The 24,910-nt window shown below is 35.9% G+C and overlaps 1 protein-coding gene and 1 long non-coding RNA gene across 21 annotated transcripts in view; one reads left to right on the top strand and one right to left on the bottom strand.

Annotated features, from left to right (window-relative positions):
* The window catches only part of SPAG16 (sperm associated antigen 16), a 1,126,038-nt gene that overhangs the window by 306,282 nt on the left and 794,846 nt on the right, over positions 1-24,910 (bottom strand). The window lies entirely within an intron of this gene.
* On the top strand, positions 1,237-19,177 carry LOC101928084 (uncharacterized). 6 transcript variants are annotated; one of them, XR_923859.3, is made up of 8 exons: positions 1,261-1,288; positions 1,489-1,583; positions 1,940-2,022; positions 5,837-6,010; positions 7,574-7,645; positions 12,728-12,862; positions 14,973-15,133; positions 18,845-19,177. It is a non-coding gene; the product is annotated as an uncharacterized LOC101928084 (long non-coding RNA). The 6 variants fall into 6 exon arrangements; XR_923855.3 differs by having other exon boundaries at positions 12,713-12,862; XR_923856.2 differs by lacking the exon at positions 18,845-19,177 and adding an exon at positions 15,391-15,793 and having other exon boundaries at positions 12,713-12,862.

Below are 24,910 nucleotides of genomic sequence, written 5' to 3'. Positions count from 1 at the left end.
CTGTGTTCCTCGAATATTTTCATATTTCTTCATGGTCAGGGCTTTCTAAGCAGAGTTCTGGCACCTGAGTTAAAGAATGACTGAATAGCAACCCTAAAGATAGAGACCCCTGGGGAGATACAGGGACATCTCACCCTGAGGCATTCTTTCACATCCAAGGATTGCAAACCGATGCTTTCCTTCTTTTTGGGAAGATTTGTTTAGATTTCAGAGCAAAGGTTTCTTTAATGTTCTCTCTCTCTCCCTCCCTCTCTCACTGTCTCTCTCTCTCTCTCTGTTTCCCTCTCTCCCTCCAACCCCCACTCCCCAGAGGGAAGAAAGAAAATTGAGTTTCATGGTTTGGGGTTTCCTTTCTCGTGGTACATAACCCCTTTCCTTCTGTACCCACAAGGTACACCCGGTTCTCACCCAGCCCTCCCTGCCCCCTACATAAGGAATTGAGGAATAGAAAATAAACAGTCTTCTCTCTGAGTAAATGGTTTGATATCTGATCCAGACAACTCCTTTGTACTGTCAGGATAATAACTCTAAGTACAGTTAGATACAAGAACATACAGCTGTCACACTGGCCTTCCTGTTTTCTAACTGCCTGGAATGCTCCCGCCTTTGTGCTTTCTGTTTCCTTTATTGCAGATGTTCTCATCTAGATATACACATGTCCTTATCCTTCCCATGCTGCTTTCAACTCAAACACAACCTTTTTCATGCTGTCTGAGATCTAATTTCCTGACGTCTCTCTTACAACCAGTCATTAGAGTAGCAGAAACTGTTTCATGAAACACTTTTATTTTTCCTCCTGGGCACACAGCCAGACTAGAGGTCAGGCGTGGCCATGTGACTGAGTTCTGCTCAGTGAAATGCAGGTGCTACAGGTAGTTAGGCAAGAGCTGGGCAGGAGAAGCCTCTCCCATCACCCACTGAAATGTTGGGTGATGGTTCCACAATATTGCCTCTCTAAAAATGATATTTAATCTATTAGCCAGAGAGAGACAATCTCCTGATGGTCCACGCTTGTGAACATTAAAGTGTTAATTGAATGCAGGCCCCAGGGAGAAGCAGCTTCTTGGGCATGTGTGTTAAGAGACAAAACGGTGAAGTATGACATTCTGGGGGGCACATGCCACTGGAGAAAGGAAAAAACCTCAGATGGGCATGCATATACCTCCCTAAACACACTGCATGCCTGTGCTCAATTCCAAAGGGTAAGGAAAACACTGCGCATGCGGGAAGCCCACCCTACGCGAAGAATCATGGGAAAGAGGCAAGCCCATGAAGTCCTAGCAACAAGGTTAAAGGCCTCCCTTTTTTTGCTCCCTTTTCTCCCTTGATCCTTCATGAGCCCGCTTAGGTCTCTTCCAAACGAATTTTCCTTTCTTTCCTATTCTAAAGCCTTTTAAAATAAACTCCTCTTCCTGTTCTGGAACTTGCCCCGGTCTCGGTCTCTTTTTCTGCTTTATGCCCCTCAGTCGAATTCTTTCTTCTGAGCAGGCAAAGGCTGAATTTGCTCCAGACACCTATGGATTTGCCGTCGGTAAATCAGGGTAACTCTGATCTCTTCCACTGCTAACACAGACAGTTGTGAAGTAAGTCCAACATAGGCCTGGCCCTTAGAAAATATCCACCATAATCTGCCAAACTCCTGATTTTCCGTTCTTTGCAGGCTATACGCAGAAGGCCTCTAGATGATGAGGCAGCATAAACTGGAAGGAACCTGGGTTTCTCAACCACCACAGAGAGAAAAGCTGCCATTCGGGACCTTACAATTGGGTAGTCCATGAATGAGAACTGAGCTTCCACTGTGTCACATCCCTGATATTTCAGGGTTCAATTATATTCACAGATGCCAATACTTGACAAATAGGTCACCCCATTTTGTTTCCTTCATATCACTCCTCATTAACAAAATTACTTCATGAATTTTTCTCCTTATTTATTGTAGTCTCCTGCCTCTAAAATTACGCTCCACAAGACAAACTCATCCACTCCTCCGTCTTCTCATCCCCAAGGCCTAAGACATCTCTGGTAAGATACGATACAGTTATTGAATGAAAAAGTAAGCACACTTACATGGAGATTATAAATGAAATTGCAAAAAAAAAAAAACAAAAAACCACCCTCACCAGATATGCTTTATTATTGGACAAATAGCTTAGTCTTCTCAATATTTATTTTCATTCTGATCAGTCATGACATGAAATGCGTGCACTTTCTTATTCCCCAACACCTTTGCTTCAGTGTAGTTCTAACCCGGGAGCATATTCACCCATTGACTTTTCCATTGCCTATTAACATTTTAAACAACTATAGGGAAATGGTGATTCCAGGTGGAGGATGCAGCTTTACATTCATCAAGTGTTTATTACATACCTAAAGCATTATGCTAAATGTTTTACAGTTGTTATCATATTTAATCCTCACAGCAATGCTAGGAGATAGGTACTATTGTAATTCACATTCTAGAGATGAAAACAGTGGCATCTAACCCACAAATAAAAAGTGGCAGAGTCATGACACTTTTCCAGTTTTGCCTGATTCCAAAGTCCCCTAGCCCTTTATGTGCAAGAAGATGGAGTGAGTGAGGCTGTTTGCCAAATCTTTCCAATATTCCTCCTTTCTGGGTAGATACGCACCTCCTAACCCTCCATGGGCTTATGAGAGACCATGTAATGAGTTCTGGCTTAAGAGTGGTGAATGGAAATGACATAGAATACTCCTCTCAGGCTCTTCCCAACTTCGCATTTTCAGCAGTTAATGATAGGTGCAAATGCCCTCCAGGAGTCCCTTTTCCCTCTGGCAGAAACAAACAACATTCAAGGTCATGGCTGAGAGATCCACCTGGATCCCTGGGAAGACCAGCAGGAATGCCCCACACCCATCTTCCAACCCATGAAGGACATAGAACTGAAGCAGGACACACATGTTGTGAGAATTGGAGGTTGTTTTTTACCATAACACAAGCTAGCCTAGCCTGACTGACCGTGAACCCTATGTATAAAGATTAAGCTTGTTCCCTCAAAATAGTAAAAGTCTTTTTAGTGTCAATAGTGTCATGTGAAAATTTGAAAAAAAAATTAAGTAATACTCATCAAAAGTCATATTTCAGACAAAAAAACCTTTAAAACTCTTAAAAATTAGGCCAAAATTAAATCATAAAATAAGTAGCCAAGCATATTATCACTAAAATCATTAAAGTGCTAATGCTTATGAATTTCCTTTCTCATTATAATGACTTACTTAATCAATGAATTCCATATTCTTTTGAAAAAATTTTAAGACAAAAATATGAAGTGAGTCCACTTCACTCATTTTTTTTCCTCCAAGGCTAGATTTTAAAATGCCTTTCTACCATAAAGACACATGCACCCATATGTTCACTGCAGCACTATTAATAATAGCAATGACATGAAATCAATCTAAATTCCCATCAATGGTAGACTGGATGAAGAAAAAAAGTGCTACATATACACCATGAATACTATTCAGGCGTAAAAAAGAATGAGATCATGTCCTTTGCAGGACCATGGATAGAGCTGGAGGTCATTATCTTAAGTGAACTAACATAGCAACAAGGAACAGAAAACGAAATACCACATGTTTTGGTATTTAAGTGGGAGGTAAACATTGAGTACACATAGACCCAAAGAAGGGAACAAAAGACATCAGGGCCCACATGAGGGTGGAAGGTGGGAGAAAGACGAGTATTGAAAAACTACTTATCAGGTACTATGCGTATTACATGGGTGATGAAATAATCTGTACACCAAATCCCTGTGACATGCAATTTACCTATATAATAAACCTGCACATGTACCCCTGAACCTAAAAGTTAAACAAATGAAATAAATTAAATGTCAGAGAAAACAAAAAAAATGCCTTTTTGATATGTTAAATCAATTTTTATATTAGTGATTGTATTAGTCCATTTTCACACTGCTATAAAGCAATACCTGAGACTGGGTAATTTATAGAGAAAAAAGGTTTAATTTTCCTGGGGAAGCCTCAGGAAACTTACAATCATGGCAGAAGGGGAAGCAGGCATGTCTTACATGGCAGCAGGCAAGAGAGAAGTGCAAGCAGGGAAAAGGCCAGATGCTTATAAAACCATCAGATCTCATGTTAACTCACTCACTATCATGAGAACAGCATGGGGGACACTGCCCCCACGATCCAATCACCTTCCACCAGGTCTCCCCTCGACACATGGGGATTATGAGGATTGTAATTTGAGATGAGATTTGGGTGGAGACTCAGAGCCAAACCATATCAGTGACATATAATTTACATACACTAAAATGCATAAATCTTAGGGGCTTACCTCAATACATTTTTATCTGTGTATATATCTGTGTAATTGTTATTCAGATTGCGATATGAAATGTTTCCAGCATTCCAAAACATTCTCTCATGCCCTTCTTAGTAAAAACATCCCTACAATTTTTATTAACTATATTTTATTGAGAAAGGAAATATAAAAATATGGTTGTAAAGTCAAATATTACAAAACACTCTCCAATGAAAAGTTAGTCTCCCATTTTAGGCCACCTCCAGAGGCAACTACCATAAATCATGTTTGTTGTATATTTCATGGACTAGTTCATACATATACAATCCCCTTTCCTCACTGTCTCATGTATCTACCTTAGTTCATATAAATGAAACCATAATATATATGCATTTTATTATTATTGTGGTGGTTAAGAATGTGATATTTGAGTGAAGTTGCAGAGTTTAAAACTCAGCTTATTGGAAAATTATTGATACTATCTCTTATTCGTATAAACACTTTACTAAGTACTTTGTGTATAGCAATTCTTTTCATCTCTACCATAGGAAATTAGTAATATTTTAAATCTCCATTTACAGTGGGAGAAATTTATGTAAAGCAATTAACATAATGCCTACACAAGTAAGGGATATTGTTATTTATAGATTAATTTGTAGCTTTTTCTCTATTCCTTGTTATACCTATTAATTTTTGTTGGCTGCTGAGAATTTTAAAAGTCACCACTCTCCCAGGAAAAGACTCAGTGTTCTCTATCCATGCTCACAAGCACCAGAACTAGTTATAAACTCATCTAATCAATTAGCAACAGTTCTACAGCCCTGCTTACAAGTAAACAATCAGAGTGGGTTTTAAACCTATCTAATTAATCAATGACAAGTAACTTCAGTGAGCACTCCTGTAAAAGTCAAATAACAACAGACACGACTTGAAAGTCAGCCAACTGGTTCAGGATTCACTACAGTGAACATGTTTCTAATGCTATTATCAACTTTTTTCTACTTCTGTAACTGGCAAAAAAAAAGTCTCATTGACCAATACAAGCTACTTTTCTAAAACTGACTTCAACCAACTCCTGCCTCTGTAACCAGCACAATCCAAAGTAAACTCTTCACAAAAACTGGATATAAAATCAGCAATTGGATTTGCTCAATGGGTAACTCTGACCAGTATAATTCTTCCACACTTAAGTGTATTATACATTCAGCTTTTTGGTTTCAGATATTGAGTGGTGTTCTCATCCTTAGACACAATTAAGTTTATACTAGTTTGCTAAAGCTACCATAACAAAGTGGCACAGACTGGGTGGCTTAAACGAAAGAGATTTATTTCTTCACAGTTGTAGAGGCTAGAAATCCAAGCTCAAAGTGTAGGCAGGGTTGGCTTCATTATGAGTCCTTCCACTTGGCTTGTAGATGGCTGTCATCCCCCTATATGTTCATATGGCCTTTCATCTGTGTCTATCTGTGTCCTAATCTCTTTATGAGGACACTAGTCATATTGCATTTGGGCCCAACCTGATGACTTCATTTAATTTTAATTATCTCTTTATAGACCTTATCTCCAAATACAGTCACCTTCCAAGATACTGAGGATTAAGACATCAACATATGGATTTAAGGGGACACAATTCAACCCCTTGCAAAGAGCTACAGATATCTTTATTCTACTACTCATAAAATGTCTTAGGAATACAATAGCCATTAGAACATTAACTGGTTGCAAAAGGTAAACTGTGACATTATTTTATACTATTTATTGTATTGTACCTATATTGCATGAATATATTTTGGGCTTATATGCAGTCTCAAAATGAAAAGTTGTATATTTTACATATTTGAATACATATCTAAACAGACTTGGATATCATACAAGCATATAATGTAATGATTAAAAGCACAGTGTCTGGAGCGAAACTACTTGGGTCTGAATTTGGGCTTTGCTGCTTACTGTGCCCTTGGAACACTCTAAGCCTCAGTTTTCTCATCTGTAAAATAGAAATAATATAGTATCTACATGATAGTGCCATTTTGGGGATTTAACAAGTGAATTGGTGTAAAGTGCTTTGATTGCTGCCCGTGACAAAGCAAGTACTCAATAAATGTTAACAATTACATAGTCATAATATGCAGATTGCAAGCTCTATGATAGCAGAGATGACATTTAGTGTACCGTCTTTATCACTTCATAATTATAACCACAACGATGAATTAGCACGTGGGAAGCATTTAATACATATTTTTAAACTAATGCACACACACGCACACACACACACATTGCAAGTTTGGTAAATGCACCCTTCACCAGCTGTCCTTTCCTAACCACATGACCTCCACCCTTTCAAGGTAATTTAAGCAAAAGGGTCAAGATTTTTGATGTTATAAAAGGACACTCATGGAGAGAAAAATCTAAGAAATGGAGCCCTAATAATGGAATGTCACAACCATCTGACAGCTGCACAGCATAAAGTTTTGTGCACTGTTGCGTTCTTGTCCACAGAACCTTCTGTACTTAGCCACTTCAAGTGCACCTGCCAGCCCCTCACATCACAACACAGAGACAGCATTCCTGCGTATATTTTTACAAAATAATTTATCTAAATAAAACACTGAAATTAAAAAGAATCATATTGTGTCATTATGCCCCCTATTTAATTTCAAATTCTGTGACCAGTCAAAAGTACTATTAAAGATGAGAAAGCAAATTGTATCCAAGGGTGAGCAGAATTAAAGTTTATGCCAGCTGCAAGAAAAAATTCTCCTACTTATCACCTACTATATTCTGCTTGTCTCTATTATGGCTACTACCTTAGTTTCCAAGTTTAAAAATTAATGTCAAAAGAATTTTATAAAGATCTTTTTTTATTTGAACAAGGTAAAACATTTTAATACAATAGAGCAATTTATATAACATTTCATATATTCTGGAAATTCTCAAAAACATATTTGTGAAAAAATTCTTTGGAATTTTAACCTTATGGGTTTACAGGTTGTTAAAAAATATATTCCATTATTAATACTGAAATGATCTCACTGGCATATAAATTAGAAACAGAGTAATCATTAACAAAGCTCCTAGTTTTTGTTATTTCATGTAAATAACTAACCATATCTGTGAAAGATTGATTGCAGCTTTTAAAATGTTTGCTGAATCCTTGTGTAATTAAGATGAGTTAAATATGCAAATCAAGCCTAATTAGCTTCATTTATTAATGTTACTTTGCCTTGCCTCTACAAAATTTTTACTGCGGATCTGCTTTAGCATGTAGTATTTTTTATTTCTTTGTTCTAGGTTGAATTGCTGAAGAAACCAGCTGTTTTTCAGAAAGAGAAAAAGCTTTCATGCAGCATTCTTCATTTAGAAGTGAGTGTTTAAAAAAACGCTCCCAGTAGCATAAGAACTGACTAAAATGCAATTATATACATATGTGTATCGGAATATATATATTCCAATCACCTTACATTAGACTATATTTAATGAATTCCCTTTCATTGAAGCAGCAAACCCTCTGGGGATTCCTTTTGATGAAAATGAGCCTTTGTCACAATATGTCCAACACAGTGATTGAGCCGAACAGAGTTAAACAGGCAGCATCAAATGAACCAAAGTACTTGGCAGAATTACATTTTCCTTGAAAAAAATTCTACATTTTTTTTTTGCATTAAAAAAACCAACCTCTCTATGTAAAACTACCAGCATCATAAAATTCACTGGAAATAATGCAAAGGAAATATAGTATAATGGCAGAGGGAAACACTAATATACCAATACAAATAAATATTAAAGTTCAGAGTCAATCTCACTTGCCCCTGATAAGCCAAAGGGAATAAGAATGAAATCTCAGAGCAAATAGAGTCAAAATTTAAATACTTCTTTTTCTATTATATATTCAATTAATTATTCTCACCATTACATTCTATAATTCAATTTTCCCAAATTCAGAAAATTGTTTTACATTATTATTGACTTTACTGCCTGCTTTAGGATATATATACTATTATTATTTTTAATAGGGTTTTATTTTCCCCCATAGAAACAGTCATTTTTCCAAGGTTTCTGAGGGGTTGTAAATATTTTATTGTGGTTAAAAAGCACAAGAGATGTACTATCTTAACAAATGTTTAACTCTACTGTATATTGTTTACCATAATACAATGTTGTACAACAGATCTCCAAAACTTTTTCATCTTGCATAACTGAAACTTTATGCACATTAAGGATCTATATTTTATATGATAGTATTTACTTCCCAAATTATGAAGCCAATACAAGTTTTCATTTTTTTCTATAATACATGAATTTTTAAGATCATTGGTAAAATAGGATGAAAACACATATTCAGAAAGGAAAAACCCTGAAATATAAAATATTCTCAGTTTTATAATAGGTGGCTTTCCTTCGCTCAACAAATATTTCCTTAAAATTAACTAAGTGTCAAATACACTACTAGAGTTAATAGCATATTTAAATCCAAAGTTTGAGCTAAGCCTGACAACAACAGAGTCCACACTCCAAAGTGAACACCAGTCACCGTGTATGATAGACACGTGTGATTAATTTGAAGCTCTTTTTCCATGTGGAGCATATGAAAGGGTTAGTAGTTGAACTGGAGAAAAGGTTTCTGGGGGGGTTTCTGTGTGTGTCTGCTTTCTCTGTTATATGTGATGAGCTAGGGAAAAAAGATAAAAAACAACCGGCCAGAGAAACACACAATTCTCAAGAGGTGAATTACACATGTGAGATCCCCAGCAATGTAGGGACTTTGATAAACGCTATGAAGGGGGTTGGCTTTAAAAATATGGTTATTTTACAAAGTGCTGAGCTAGATTTCCAATGTGCTAAGAACTTTTGAGTTCCTTCCACCTCATCATCCTCCCCACACTCCAACCCTGATGATTCTGAAACCATCATTAAGCAAATGAGGGAACTTAGAAAGTCCTTAAGCAGTCCTCCCACATGCAGCCCCTCCCCAAGTCCTCTCAAAAGTTTCATCCAATTGGCAACGATCTGACGTCCAGAAACCGGCTACCTAACTAGATCCAGGTGTGGATGATGCACCTGGGACGTAGTTTAAGTGTAGCTCCTTAAATTCCATTCCTCTCTATCTGTAGACCTGTGAAACTAAAATAGACAAATCATCTACCCCATATTACCAAATATACATTGTTGGGCAGGCACAGAATAACAACTGTATACATTCCTGTTCTAAAAGGAGGAAAATGAAGGCATAAAAGGGTCATTAGTCCATAATAATTCCAAAATTCAGCCATACAAATTGTGTAAGTTCTGTGAGTAGGTCTCAAGGCCTGGGAATAATTCTTTATGATTCTACAGTTCTGCTCTATTATAAATTAGAAAACAAAGCATGCCCTGGGCACAGATATTGTAGAACAATAATTGTCAAATTTTAGGGTGCCTAAGAACCAAGCAGAAAGCTTGTTTATAACGCATATTTTTACAGAAAAAGGATTTCTGAGGCTCCACTTAAAGAGGTTCTGAATCTATGTACACATGAGTTTCAGGACTTTGTATTTTAATTAGCATGCCATGTGATTCTAACATGTACTTTGGGAAAAAATGATCTACTGCAGTGCTTCTCAAATTTTAATGTTAATATTAATATAAATGCCCTGGAGATCTTATTAAAATGCAGATTCCAATTCAGTAGGTCTGGGGTAAGCCAATGCTCTGCAAGAAACAAGGTTTTTTTGTTTTCTTAAATAAAACACTCTCATTTGTAGCATTTGCAAACTGCCATGGTATAAATATTCCCTCCGTGGACAATTTCAAGCTACCAACTCAATGTCACTGAACTCTGATTTGGGAAGAGTTGTGCGTATTCTGCTTTCACAAATCAGTGTGAACCAACTCTGACACACTACTGCATGGAGCCCAAGATTCTGAATTTCTCATAAGCTCCCAGGTGATATGGTCGTTCCTTGTGCACAGACCACACCTTAAATAATAAGGATCCAGTAGAGAAACATGGAATGCTCCTAGTGAAGGTGATATTTAAGATGAGATATAGACACTAAAAGGTAAGTTAGTTGGGCAAAGTCATGGGATAGAGGGCAAAGATTCAAATAGAGAGTGACCCCAGAGCATGCCATTTATATATTGTTTATGGATGCTTTGGTATTACAATCGCAGAGTTAATTTGTTGAGACAAAGACTATAGGCCTGCAAAACTAGCCTTTTATAGAAAAAGTTTGGTGAATTCTGCACTAGAGCATTAAGTTAATAGCTATACTCTCTTAACAACTACAAAATGTTTTTATCATTATGCTGTGCTATATGGCTGTTAAAAAACCCCACACATATACATACACAAACATCAACCCATAGACACGCGTGCATGAGTACACAATCACATACACACAAAGATACATACACATACATGGACACACAACATACACATATACATACACACACATATATACACATATGCACCCACAAAACCAATAATATAGATAATCCAGTTATTTTAATCAAGTGAAATATATATATATACATTAGAATGATAGAAGAGATTAAATAAAATGTATAGAAGGAATAGCATATAAAATAAGAAAATACAAGCATTACTATGGCAATAAAGTTGAAAATCCAGAGCAAATAGATTACTTCCTAAGAAAATACAAATAACCCAACTTAATTTATGAATTATTATATCACTGTTGAAGAGAAACCACATCATTTATTCCAAAACATATAATTTAAGATACAACTATTATATATATAAAATTACTAACTAGGTAGCTGAAAGTGTTAAAAGAGAGAACTAAAGGATCAGAGAGGTGGTAACTGTACCAAGCAACTACAATACCTAGGGAAGAGGGGCCAAATAAAAGTTTGAGTTATTAAATCTTAAAAGACTTAGATGAAGGGCTTAAACTCAAACCTCTAAAATGAGGTGCTCCTCAGGTGCTGTTAGTGTCTCTGAAGAGGGTGCAATGAGAATGGTTCTATGAGTTTGGCAAAAATTGAAATTGATTTAGCTGCTGCCATAAAAAGAGCTGCTGGGATGAAGAATCAAGGCACAAGAGTCCTCTGGAGGCACACAGGAAGTAGACAAGGAGTACATAGAAAAGGCCAGGTCCTGGCTTCCTCCTCCAGCCTTGCCATCTCCCTTAGCTCCCACTGTGGCCAGAGCTCAACACGGACCCTACTGGTAAACAGAAATGGAAATTGCAATTTCAGCTCCAGGATCACAGAGCTGAGTTTAGAAGGTTGGGTATGAAGCTGACAGGCAATAAGTTAATAATTGGCAGAAGTATAAAATATGAATAAGTTAATTATCAAAATTTTAAATAAAGCTTTTCCATGGCAAAAGATACAATAAATAAGGTAACAGGAAAAAATTTGATTTGTTAAAAATTTTGCAATGCAGATGACAGATAAACAGATAAAGGGCCATATATATATATATATTTATATATATATTCATAGTAACACAGACAAAGGATATGAATAGGCCATTCACATAAAAGGAAATATAAATGGACAATAAATGTATGAAAAGATTTTCAAACTCACTAGTCAGTGAAATGCAAAATAAAGTGACAACTACCAATTCACCTGCTGTTGGCAGTCATGTGGGGAAGAGAGTACTTTCATTTACTCATGGTAGAAATGTGAATCGTTACAGCCTTTTGGAAAAGCAATTTGGTAACATCTATTAACATTTAAAATGATGTGCTCCTTAACCTTGCAATAAAAGCAGCATGTGTAAATTTATATCTGAGTATGTTTTTGCAGCACCATTTATGGTGGCAAAAACCTGGAAATGAAGTGACTGCTCATCAAGAAAATAATTTTGACATAAACTCTTACTCCTTTGCCTACTATATAGTCAATAAAATAATAAAATAGAATCCTATTGATTGATTTTGAGTTATTTCTATCAGATACATTTGAACAAGTAAAGCAAAATGCACAGAAGTAGGTATTGTATTGTACAATGACCAAAGGACCTTGTCTGGAAGTGTGTTTGTGGGATTTTTGCTGTTGTTCTTGGAAATGTTTTTTCTTTTCTGTTGAATTTGGAGGTACAGTTGGATTAATAATAATATTTCATAAAACACATTATGATCAGGTTGTTAATATGTTCATTAGAGTGGATAAAGGGAAGAAGATAGGAATTGTAGGAAACAGGAGATTCTAAGCATACAGGAACCTATTTATGTAAAATGATTTCTATGTGTGTACAGACATATTTAAATGCATAAGTAAACTAGAAAACAAGAGAGAATATCCAATACTTATGCTAAGTAATACAAGCAAGTTATAGACTAATGTATAGCAAGATTATATCTCATTAAAACAAATAAACATTATAGCAATAATTGCATACACTGAATAAGTGTTTACTATATGCCAGGCGTGGTTCTAACAGCTTTGTAAACACATTACTGATTGAATGCTTCTCAGTACATTGTTATGCAGGTATATACAGCAAGTTAGTGTGTACATTGAGAAAGACCCAGCATAAAGTCACAGAGGACTCTGGTGCCAAATCATCTGAGTATTTATTTGAATACTGGCTCTGTTTCTGACCAGCTGTGTGACTTTCCCAGCTTGGTAAGTTGCTAAATATCTTCATACTTCAGTGTTTCCATCTGCAAAATGGAGTAGTATTAGTAGTTTTATTACAGATTTTTGAGAAATAAATGAAATAATAATGTAAAATGCTTAGAACAAATCTTGGGATATAATAAGTACTCCATAAATATCAGCTATTATTATTATTATGAACAAGGAAAAAGGAATGGAAGAATTTATACACATGTTGTTAATTAGCACTGGTTAGCTCAGTGGGATTGAAGTAGGGAATAGAGGGAGAAACTTGGATTTTGTTTTTATGTATCACAGATTTCCTTTTTCTATTTTTATCACACATGAAACATTTAATTGTAGCCAACATTTTATGACCTCAAGACAGACTTAAACTCAGAAACTAAACTAAAAGTAATAATCCAGTATGGCGAGATTTTGGATTGTTCATTTATTTGTTCTCATTTTTTGTTTATTAATCTCATCAACAGATATTTATAGAATGCCTTTAAGGCACTCTATAGGCCCTGTGTTTATATGAGTATATATTTTTACTCTCAAAGGACGCAAAGACTAATGAGGAAGAAACAGACTTTAATAAAATGTCTGCAAATAATCACTGTGATAAACACTAAGAAAGTAAAATCAGGATATTCGAAACAATGTTACATGGGGTTTGGAACTCATGCAAAGCTTTAGTAAGAAAATTATATTTGAGCTGAGATCTGAAGAAGAAGGAATAAAGTATGCAAAGAAAATTGGGGTTGAGGGGAATATTTTATATACAAGCAACTGCTGGTGCTAAATCCATGTCACAATAGCCCATTATTTTATTTGGTTGGTTTATTGGTTCTATCTTCTGCTTGGACCAGTTCATATTTTACTCTTTCTTTCTTTGACCCTTGACACTGTGATTGAGACGTATTAATGACATACAGTGAAGGTGCCTCTCTCTGAGGCACTACATCTGATCGTCACAGTCTATTTTCCGGTAGTGGTTGCTTTTGAAAGACTTGTTGAGCTTCTCAGAGTTTGCGAAGAAATTGAATATTGCTGTTCTTTCATCTTTTTTAGTGTTTAAAATTATTTGTAGATAATTATTTTATTTTAAAAGTCTTTCTTATACTTGTTCTTATTATCATTCTTCTTTTTTTCTTCGTCTTCATCTTTATCTTCCTCTTCCACTTCTTTCTCTTTGTTCATTCTCCTTTATCACCATCATCACACTTCATATCTCCATATATCTCTTTTGCAAAAGCTTTTATTGATTTGTATATAGATGAGTATTTTATTATTTGTACAAGCTTATTCCTGTGTATAGATATGTTATCAATGAATATATTCCTCATTAAAAAATTGAATCTCTAGGATAGCAGTGTAAACAGTGTATTAGAATGGCAGGCATATGTGTACAGAGTCTAGTTAGTTGCCCAGGGAGCAGACACTCATTAACTTGACATTGGATAGAAGTAGTAGAGGTCTTAAAGAGAAGTTGATATTTAGTAAATATTTAGAATATTATATCAATAAAATATGGTAAAGGGATTTATGGATGGATTTAGGGAGGGTCATGGATTGAAATTTTAGTGATGACTTCTAAATTTGAAGAACTGGATGGAATTTCTTAGAGAACCTCAGAGAATGGCAAACTTTGGGAGAGAAGATCATAAATTCAATATTGTAAATACTGTGCTAAGATGTCTTTGAAACAACCAAGGGGGCGGGAGGATGCTAAAAATGTTGTTACATATAGTGTTCTGGACTTGGAATATAGGTTAGAATGAGAGGCAAAATTTGTAGATCATCGGTGAGAGATGGTAATTTAAACTATGAGCCAGGATAAAGAGGCTTAGAAACACTGTAGAGAAAGGTCCGAAGCATGTATTGTGAAAACCTGCATCATTTAAAGGAAAGTCAGGGGAAAATCTTGTATAATAAACAAGGAGAATGATGAAAGTGTTTGTACATGATCTTTACCATTTCTTGAGAATAAATTCTCAGAAGATGGGTTACTAGCTCAGAAATTGTGAATTTCTAAGGCTTTTGGTACATAATGTAAAAATACCCTGTTGAGGAAATTTATCAATTTTTAATTTGCTAAACTTTACTTGTATCTATTACAAATGCCTCCCCTCAGCCTCCAACAACCTCTCCATTCAATTTTCCACATACTGAGAGAGATTTATTGATTACTCTGGCAAGATACTGGGATAGGCACAGAAGACCCAGCAGTGCCCAAAAAAACAACCTCTGTCCCACTCTGCCATAAAGGACTCTACAGTCGAAGTGTTTGAGAAGGTGGGAATGGAATAGATACAGAGCATATTAATATATTCTCTATTTTGAATCTATTACTTATTCTTTAATATGCTTGATTCTGATGTTATTTCAATATACTGCAGGATTTAAGTTTGCAAATATTATATTATTTTTACATCTATATACCAAAGTGAAATTGGTGTGCCATTTTTACTTCTTTCATTTTCTTTCCCATATTTTAGTATCATTGTTATACTAGCTTTATACAGTGAGCAGGCTATCTTTCTATTTTTCAGATCCTGGAATAGTTTAAACAGTATTGGCATTATTGGGTCACTTAACGGGTGAGAGGACTCATTCATAAAGCCATCTGGTCCCAGCATCTGTTTTAGAGGTTAGATCTTTTCAGCTGTTTCAATTTTTTTCCCCAGGGTATGGTTCTATTCAAGTTTTCTACTTGTTTTCTGATTTTTCAATTTTATTAATTTATAATTTTCTAGAATATTATTCTTTCAAAAAATATTGAGTGATATTTTGTCAGGCATCTGTCTTTGTTGTGCCCTGGCCTTTCATATTTTGGAAGTGAATTGTTTATTGTTTAGTATGGCTAATGTAGTTTTTTTCCTGTAAGCTTGTACATTTTTCTTTATTCTTTCAATTAAAATGTCCTTCTAGAATGTATCTATTAGAATAAACATAGTTCTGTGAGTGCTGGGAGCAGGTGCCCAACTTTGTGGAACAGGCTTCAGTGTGGTTTTTTTCACCTGTATCTGATGAGCTCTTTCAAACTGCATATGCAGATGTTAAGTAAGATTGGGAATAGGTATGGTTGCACTTTCTTCAGAATACCATTCATCTCGGTGATGGCTCTTTGTTTACAGACTTCCATAACAGCCATCTTTTATCTAATTTTTTTTTCCAATATTTTTGTTCCTTTGCACAATGTGAGTGCTTCCATCCTCTTCCTCCACTCCCTGGAAAAGGTCTGTAAAATAATCTTCCACATAGCGATTCCTTTGCTGTTGTATCAGATCTGCTATTACATAGTTAATAACCTTTCAATTTATTTTTAATTGTATTCCTCTTCCTTTTCACACTGCATTTTTTCATACTTTTCTGTTTACATATCAGGTCTTTTAAAGTAAATGTCCTTTGGATATTCTTGATGGCATCATTTATTTTTTAATTTATTTTTCTAATTTGTGCAGAATACTATTTTTAGTATTTTTCTTCTAGATCTTCTAGATGTTCTTCCTGTTCATTGCCTCCATATGTGTTTTATTTTTATTCAGCTTCCAAAAAAGGGCAAGATTTGTCTAGATATTTTTTTGTCTATAGCACCCAGTGTCTGGTTGGCACACTAAATTTTACTTATGCTGTAATTTTTGACTCCCATTTTCAAGCTTATAACTGGAAGTTTCTTTTAATTCCCTGGTTAATTCCTGCTGTTGAATAGGAATTAGGTTCTCATCTCCTCTGGCTTTCTGTCTCTTTTTGGTACTTAAGAATAATCACCTATAATTCCCAACATACATTACTTCTCAATTTCTTCCCACCTCCACTCTTTCCTTTGCTGATTTACATTTATTATCATGTGACATCTTTTAGAAAAATGTCTATATATTCTTATCTATATACCTTTAAGAACTTGCACAGTTTCCTGGGACATAATGAATACTTAATAAATATTTGCTGAATGACTGAATTAACATAATCCATATCATAATCAATTTTCCATGTTTGCTAATAGTTTATTGTCATGTTAAGTAGGGGTAAAAAATGAAGAATTGAATGGTATCCATCACTTTTTTACATAATAACACCTTACTTTTATTTGGTCACTATATGTGTGTCTGTACATTTTTTCTACATTATTATATAGCGTCCTTAAAGTTAAGATAGCAAAAAAATCTGCATTTAACTCTTTATTTCTCACCATTATCATTTTGTTGCAAGAATGGGAGCCTTTATATAATGGAATCAAGAAAAATATTTAGGATATATATTAGTACAGTGCCTGAGGCTCTGATATATCAAGACAGAACTGAGTAAAGGAGTGAAGAAACCACATAATAGAATCTAAGAATGAAAAATCACAAGAAAGTGTAAACACTGCAGTTTGAGGTAAAGTGTCTCTCTTTGAATCTGGTAGTAACTACTTGACATCAATGAGTTGAGCAGTAAAAAATAGAACAAAATCATGTTGTTCATTGGGCATTGCAAAGTTAAAAATGCCAATTCTTTCACTGAAAGTAACTTTATTTTTTCTCATACAGTACAATAGTGCCTGAAGACACTTTCTGAGCATGAAGTTTGAAATGTGATTGATCCAATTTGCTTGTTTTTAATGCTTTCTAGGGGCAGTAGAGTAGGGAGGAGACATCGAAAATATAGGCAACTGTATTAGTCTGTTCTCATGCTTCTATAAAGAACTTCTGGAGACTGGGTAATTTATAAAGGAAAGAGGTTTAATTGTTCATAGTTCCACATGGCTGGGGAGGCCTCAGGAAACATAATCACGGTGGAAGGCATCTCTTCACAAGGCAGCAAGAGAGGGAATAAGGGAGGAAATGCCTCTTATAAAACCATCAGATCTCATGAGAACTCACTCACTATCACCAGAACAGCACAGGGGGACTGCCTCCATGATCTCATCACCTCCATAAGGTCCCTCCCCCAACACATGGGGATTACAATTCGGATTACAATTCATGATGAGATTTGCATGGGGACACAGAGCCAGACCATATCAGCAACTGAGGATAGTTTTTAAGGTGCTTACTTCTTGCTTGGTACATAATAAATTATCATGACTAAACATATAGTTATCTTGAACTATGAAGTTTCGAAGAAAAAGACAAGTAGTAACCTCTGGAATTGGTAACAACCTTAATTAATACAGTTTTGTGCAAGGCAATATTTTGAAATGAAATGAAAGAAAATGAAAGCCAGAGTCATGCAGTGTCACTGTCAGAAGTTTACGCTGTATGAGAATAAGTGGTGTGATGGCTGCATCAGATAAATTTTTAAGTCACATATAAAAAGTACAATGTTTCATGAAAGCATAAAGAAACAATCACATATGTTCGGAGTAATTTAAAATTTTAATCTCAAAAGGAGATGTATTTTAAAATCAATTTTTAAGGATGGACAGGCTTTCAAAAGGCAGAGGGCGAAGATGGTGTTCAAGGTATTAAAGAAACACAAATCAAAGATGTAGGGGAGGAAAAGCTTCTGCCACGTATAAATATCACGCAAAAGTGCTGTTTGTGACACTGACCATGTCCACTTCATATTAGCAGATAATTAGATAGCTATGTCACTGTGAAAAGCCTTCAACATCATGATGAATAACTGACCTTCAGTGTGGTAGACAGTGAAGTGTCCTGGACAGCTTATGACTATGTGAATGGCATGATTGGAATTGTTCTCTTTGTAGTCTGGATGTTCAAAGGAAAGGTAATGAGCTACTAAACCAGAATGGGAGGAGTGGAATATAAACAGTAGGGGAAAAATTTTTAAAGGCAGTGTAAAGGACACATTTGCAAGATGTAACAGATGATTTTATATTTGGGAATTTGAGGAAGTATAATCAAAGTTTTGTATTTTTCTCACTCCATGTTGTTGCTAGGACCATTGCCCTAAAAGCAATTTTGATCACTAACTCCATACCAACATATGGAGACTTTCATGATAACTCTCTTTTCTTCTTTTTCTTTCTTTCTTTCTTTCTTTTTTTTTTTTTTTGAGGTGGAATCTCCCTCTGTCAACCAGGCTGGAGTGCATTGGCTTGATGTCAGATCTTGGATCACCGCAGCCTCCGTCTCCTGGGTTCAAGTGATTCTCCCGCCTCAGCCTCTCGAGCAGCTGGGACTACAGGAAGGCACCACCATGCCTGGCTAATTATAAGTCTTTTGACTCACTCTTGTTCGTCCTACTTTCTTTTGCTTTTATATTCCAGTCAAACCAAATTTCTCATGGCTTTACGCAACTTTGACTTTATAAGTTCTGCCCTACCAGCCTCTTGGACTTACCTTCTCTATTTTTAACTGCCTAGTTCTTATTAAAGACTGAAGTAAAGCACCTGCTTTCTGTGAAGCATTTCTTCCAACTCCCTCACACAACATGAATTGCTCTCTGCTTTGTCTTCTAACAGTCTTTCAGTGCTACCTCTAAAACAGCACTTACCACATACTTTGTTTACTTGTCAGTCTTCTTCTTCAATATAATATAAGCTCATTGAAAAGAGATATTGTTTTATTCTGCTTTGTAATCCCCAGGACATAAAATATTCCTTGGCAAGAAGCAGGTACATAATGAATGATGAAGAAATTAGTAACTGAATGTATGAAATGGCATTGACATTTTGAGCCTGAGTCATTAGGAAATAAGTGTGTCACTTATTGAAGTAGGGAATTCAGAGTAAGCTGATAAATTGGGGGAGAGACCTGCTGAGTTAGAGCCTAGGTCAGTAATTGTAAATGTACATATAAAGTTGGGGCAGTGACAACAACCATATATTATCATCTATACAAGGATCTGAAGCCTAAAACACTGGTGGGTTGGATAAAGGAAAGAAAGGAGAGAGACTGAATGTGAGAAAAGCAAAACCTGTTGATAGGCTCTTTATGATTCTATTGATGAATTATAAATGAGGTATTTCCATTGGTTTAGGGGGAGTTCATGTTGTAAGGTGTGAGAAAAAAGTCATAAAATCTAGATGATTTTTTTTTCAAAGATTACGTGCTGAAGGGAGGAAAACAAAAAAGTCATTTCAAAGAGTAACAGAATTGAGGATTTTGTTTTTAGTTCCTGGCTTTGTTTGTTATGACCATGCCCTTAGGCAGAGAAATTATTTTGTAAAGAAGGAGAAGTTACAGATGTAAACAAATGAGAGGACTTGATGAAATGAAGTCTTAGAGAGGGGAGAGACTGAGAATCTCAATCTTTCCCTTGTGAAGAGGTACTGAGGGAAAAAGAATGGTTATTCTTAAGGGAGGCATGTAAAGGAAGAGAAGATGGATGAAAATAAATTTTAAAGTGAAGGGAAAATAAAGAGTATAAATGTTATATGGTTTTCTCAAAACTGTATGAGCTGAAGTTATTCACTGAAAGTCTCGGTGATGTGGATTTAGTATAAGAGCTTTAGTAGAATAGAAAAGGTAGGAATTGCTATGAGGAAGGACATCAATAGTAAGCATACACTAGGAATTTTAAAAAGGATGCAATAATAAGAGTCTAGCTTAGTTTAAAAGAATTACAGTGGATCCAAGAAGCAGGACTTTGTGCATTTCTCTAATAAGATACAGCAACTACCTATTGGGTATTATGGCTCACTACCTGAGTGACAAGTTTCATATACCAAACGTCAGCCTCATGCAACATACCCATGTAACAAATCTGCACATGTACCCCCAAATCTAGAATAAAACTTGAATTTATTTTTTAAAAAAAGAGTTGTTGGGGGACAGATCCCCAGATCCCCAGGTCAGATATGCAACAAAAGCAGAATGAATGGAAGTTAATTAGTTGAGTCTGTTCTTGAGGTTCTTCCTCTCATAAGTTGGGAAACAATGGTAAGAAAATCACTGGAATCACACAGAAATCAGAACACGAGACTTGTTATGGATATAGCTGAATTAGAAAATGTAGATTGGAAACCCAAATCTAAGTATTTTCTCCATGAATGAATGGCTTACCCACATAGCCATTGGCAGAGTTGAAAAATGATCTTATGGCCTGGTAAATAAGAAAAAAAAAACTGCCTCCTTAACTCAGGAGAGGAATAAAGACTGATCCATATACCCACAGGTTCTTTCCCTTAGCTTACCAGTCAGATGATTACCAATCACACACTCCTTTGGGGATGTGTCTATGAGAGGCCCTGGACAAGAGGTCTCAAGTATTCTTCTAAAACTTTCATCCTAGAAATCACACATTCCGTCCCCTCTATGGAAATCTGACAAATTCAGAATAAACCCTCCTTCCTAATAGATGGTAGTATTATTGACAAGGTTGACCACATGTCTGGTTCGGTAGACCTGAAAGTAAATTCATCATGTAAGGTAATTTTTTAAAAGTCAAAGAACAAAATAGGGTCAAAATAAAAAATTTAGAGCTTATTTACTGGAAGTGAGAAAGGTGAGGAGAAGACTGCAATTATTTCAGTGTCAGAGTTTGTGATTATGTTGGTAAATGGTAGAGTTATTTCAAGTTATCAAGAGTTGTAAGGCAAGTCTGAGTGATGGGGTGGGAGAAACAAAGTGGCAATGCTTAACATTGAAAGTGAAGAACTATGAGGCTAGGAAGTAAGAAAAATATCATAAAGGTTGAATCTGTTGAGCATAATGGTAGGCCAGTGATTATTACCAGGCAAATAAATGATTTTTAAGAAATGTGATGTTAAGGCCTTCTCCCATTAAATTAGAATATCTGAAGGTAAAGCCATCGGAGAACTAGTTTTTTAAAGCTTTCCAGGTAATTCTAATGTGCAGCCAGAGTTGAGAACCACTGTATCTGGCAATGATGAAAAGACGAACAGTGTGACAGTGATGAATGGGTCATGCTGTCCTGAAGACAGAAAGATGGATAGGACAAGGAAGAGAAGAGGGCAGAAGTAGACATCAAAAATAGTGGAGATTACTGAGCAGAAGCAGGGCAATCATATCCTAAAAATGGCAGTATAACTAAAGTAGTATTAAGAGTCAACGTATCAGGTTCCCAAAAGTCATGAGACAGTAAGAAGTGGAGGAGAAGGTAAAAGATCTTGTGTCTTTGGGTTTCAGACACATTTTATTTAATGAAAGAAGATTGATGAGGAGAAATTTATTTATGGAAAAACAGAGTTGAGTGGACCTCTTGGGTGAGGAGATTGTTATATTGTTAAGAGTGGACTCAGGGATAGTCAGAGAAGAACTGGGTAAATTAGAGCAGTAGGAGCCAGAAATGAAGGGCAAGTGGAACGTTTTCCTCGATCCAGCTGCAGGACATGGCAGAGGTATCCAAGCCAAAAGCGAGGGGCAAGAAGAGCCAGGAAGAAAGGCAAGGTTTAGTGCCAAAAAGACATAAGAAGAGGATATCAAAGCCACAGGCCGACAATTAAAACAGGGCCCAGAGCCTGAGGAACTTGATGTGGAATCAGAAGGAAGTGGCCAGAAGTGTCTCCATGGTGGCCCCAGCTCTCTTGAGTTCTAATGATTTAGGCAGAGATGGTCACAATTTGCCCCACCCTCTTTCCCTGAATCCTCTCCTTCTTTAAAGAAACCCTCCTAAGGATGAAAAAAAAAAATACAATGAGTAGGAGAGAGCACTAAAAAATGTTGCAATGTGAGGCAAATTTTAGAGGCAGACAGAATCATCAGGTACTGGGGGAAGAAGGGCATTATTAGTTTCCTAGGGCTGTCATAACAAAACATCACAAACTGGGTGGCATAAAACAACAGAAATGAATTTTCTCCCAGTAGTGGAGACTACAAGTCTGAGATCAAGGTGTGTGCTATGTTGTGAGGTCTCTGAGGGAGAATGTTATGTCTCTCTGTTAGTTTCTGGTGACGGCTGGCAGTCCTTGACGGTTGTTGGCTTGTAGATGCAGCATTACAATCTCGGCCTCTGTCTTTATATGGCATTCTCTCTCTCTGTCCCTGTCCCTTCTTCTTTTTATGAGAGCATCAGTCATATTGAATTAGGGCTCCCCCTACTTCAGTATGATCTAATCTTAAGTAATTACATCTGCAAACACCCAATAGAGTGTCATTATTCCCAATTCTGTACCACTGAAAACAGAGATAAGTAATTGGGGGTTAGGATTTGAACATATCTTTTGGGGGAACACAATTCAACCAACAACAGAGATTTTGTTGTTAGGTAAAATTTGGCTAATGCGGCTTGGAGTCTTGGTATGATCCTACTTCTGGAAGTATGTTACTTAGATATCTCAGTTGAATTATGGTTTTCAGTGAAGCAAAAGAGATAATTGGATAGCATATATATATGTTAAATGTAATATATATTATATTTAAATTCTAATATTATATTTTTATGTACATAATATATGTCCATGTTTATTTTACATTAATATATAGCCCTGTATGTGAAAGCATCTGAGATACTATTTTCTTATTCAGTGGTTCTCAAAGTGTGGTTTCTGGATCAGGCATATCAACATCACCTGAGAACTTGAAAAACTTACATCCCACACCTATTCAATTGAAAACTCTGGGGCTGACTCTCCATCTGTATATCTGTATTTTTATAAGCCTTCCTGTTCAGTCTGATTTGAGAACCATGTGATTCTGGTTAAAGAAACTTGCAATTACAAAAACAGGTGTTAAGTAAAGGTTATGTTTGTTTTGATTGGGTACTTTAGTCTGAAAAGCTTGTGTCTTGAAGATTTCGGCTAATAAATTAGACAATTAAAATATTGTTACCCTAAGTTATTCATAAAATATTTAAAATAGCTTTAATGTGGTTAGAATTTTTCTTTTTTCTTTTTATTTTATTTTAATTTTTTTTTTTTTTTGAGACAGAGTCTCGCTCTGTCGCCCAGGCTGGAGTGCAGAGGCGTGATCTCAGCTCACTGCAAGCTCTGCCTCCCAGGTTCACGCCATTCTCCTACCTCAGCCTCCCGAGTAGCTGGGACTACAGGCGCCCACCACCACGCCCGGCTAATTTTTTTTTTTTTTTTGTATTTTTAGTAGAGATGGGGTTTCACCGCGTTAGCCAGGATGGTCTTGATCTCCTGACCTTGTGATCCGCCTGCCTCGGCCTCCCAAAGTGCTGGGATTACAGGCGTGAGCCACCGTGCCTGGCCTTAATGTGGTTAGAATTTTTCAAATGGATCTTGTTTTATAGAACTTGTTATTTGAGAAATTTCTGGGACTAGAGTCTCTTACTGAGTTTGTTGATGGTTTTAATGTCTCAAGTCTTCAGATAATTCTGCTGCCAATGAATTCTCAGCCTCACTTTTGTTTACTGTATGCCAGCTGCCCTGTATGTGTCATTTATTAAGTGATATAATTGAATTCTTACAAATTAACATAAATATTTATCATGACCCTTTTAAGGATGGACAAACTGAGATATTTCTGTTAGGTTTGTCTTAACAGAGGTTAAGTAAATTGTCCACATTTATTCAGTGAAGAATGATAAAAAGTAGATATCAAATCCAATTTGACTGACTGCAGAGTCCACATTCCTTCATCTACCCTATTTGGCTTCTATTTAGAGACCTAAATAGCTGCTTAAAATAATAAAAATTAGTTTTGTTTTTGAAATTCTCTTTTCTCTTCTAAACAAGGACAAAAACCTGGGGTTGGGAAGACACTTAAAAAGTCAGTGTCTTTTCTCTTGTCTCCCATTCCCAGATTCTTCTGAGACAAAAATCTGACTTCTAAAATAAGGCAATTAATAAAATAGGTGGTCCAAGCCAATGATTTATATTATTGGTCCCACATTATCTTTCATCTTGCCGGTAGAAAACTTCTTAGCTGGCTTTCCAATTTGCCCTAAGCACTGCCATTTCAATAGGAATTGCCAGGTTCTAGGTATTGCTTGAAATTTGTTGGGAATTTTAACATGATGATTAAGTTTTTGCATTAATGCCTTCTCTGGAATCCAAACTTTCTAACATGGCTTATTTAAGAATTGCTATAAATAAGAAAACATTTTAACTGTAGCAAAATTTAGCTTTTTAAATATCATGAATTCAGAACACAACAAATTATTCAAACAAAGAGATTTCTTTTCTTTACCAGATTGTGAAAATTACTATTCTCGAGGGCATTGATATATAATTTAGTTCATATTTATAGTTCTTAA

Source organism: Homo sapiens, chromosome 2 (assembly GCF_000001405.40).
Source record: "Homo sapiens chromosome 2, GRCh38.p14 Primary Assembly".
NCBI lineage: Eukaryota > Metazoa > Chordata > Mammalia > Primates > Hominidae > Homo > Homo sapiens.
This window is presented reverse-complemented; position numbering and strand designations above follow the sequence as displayed.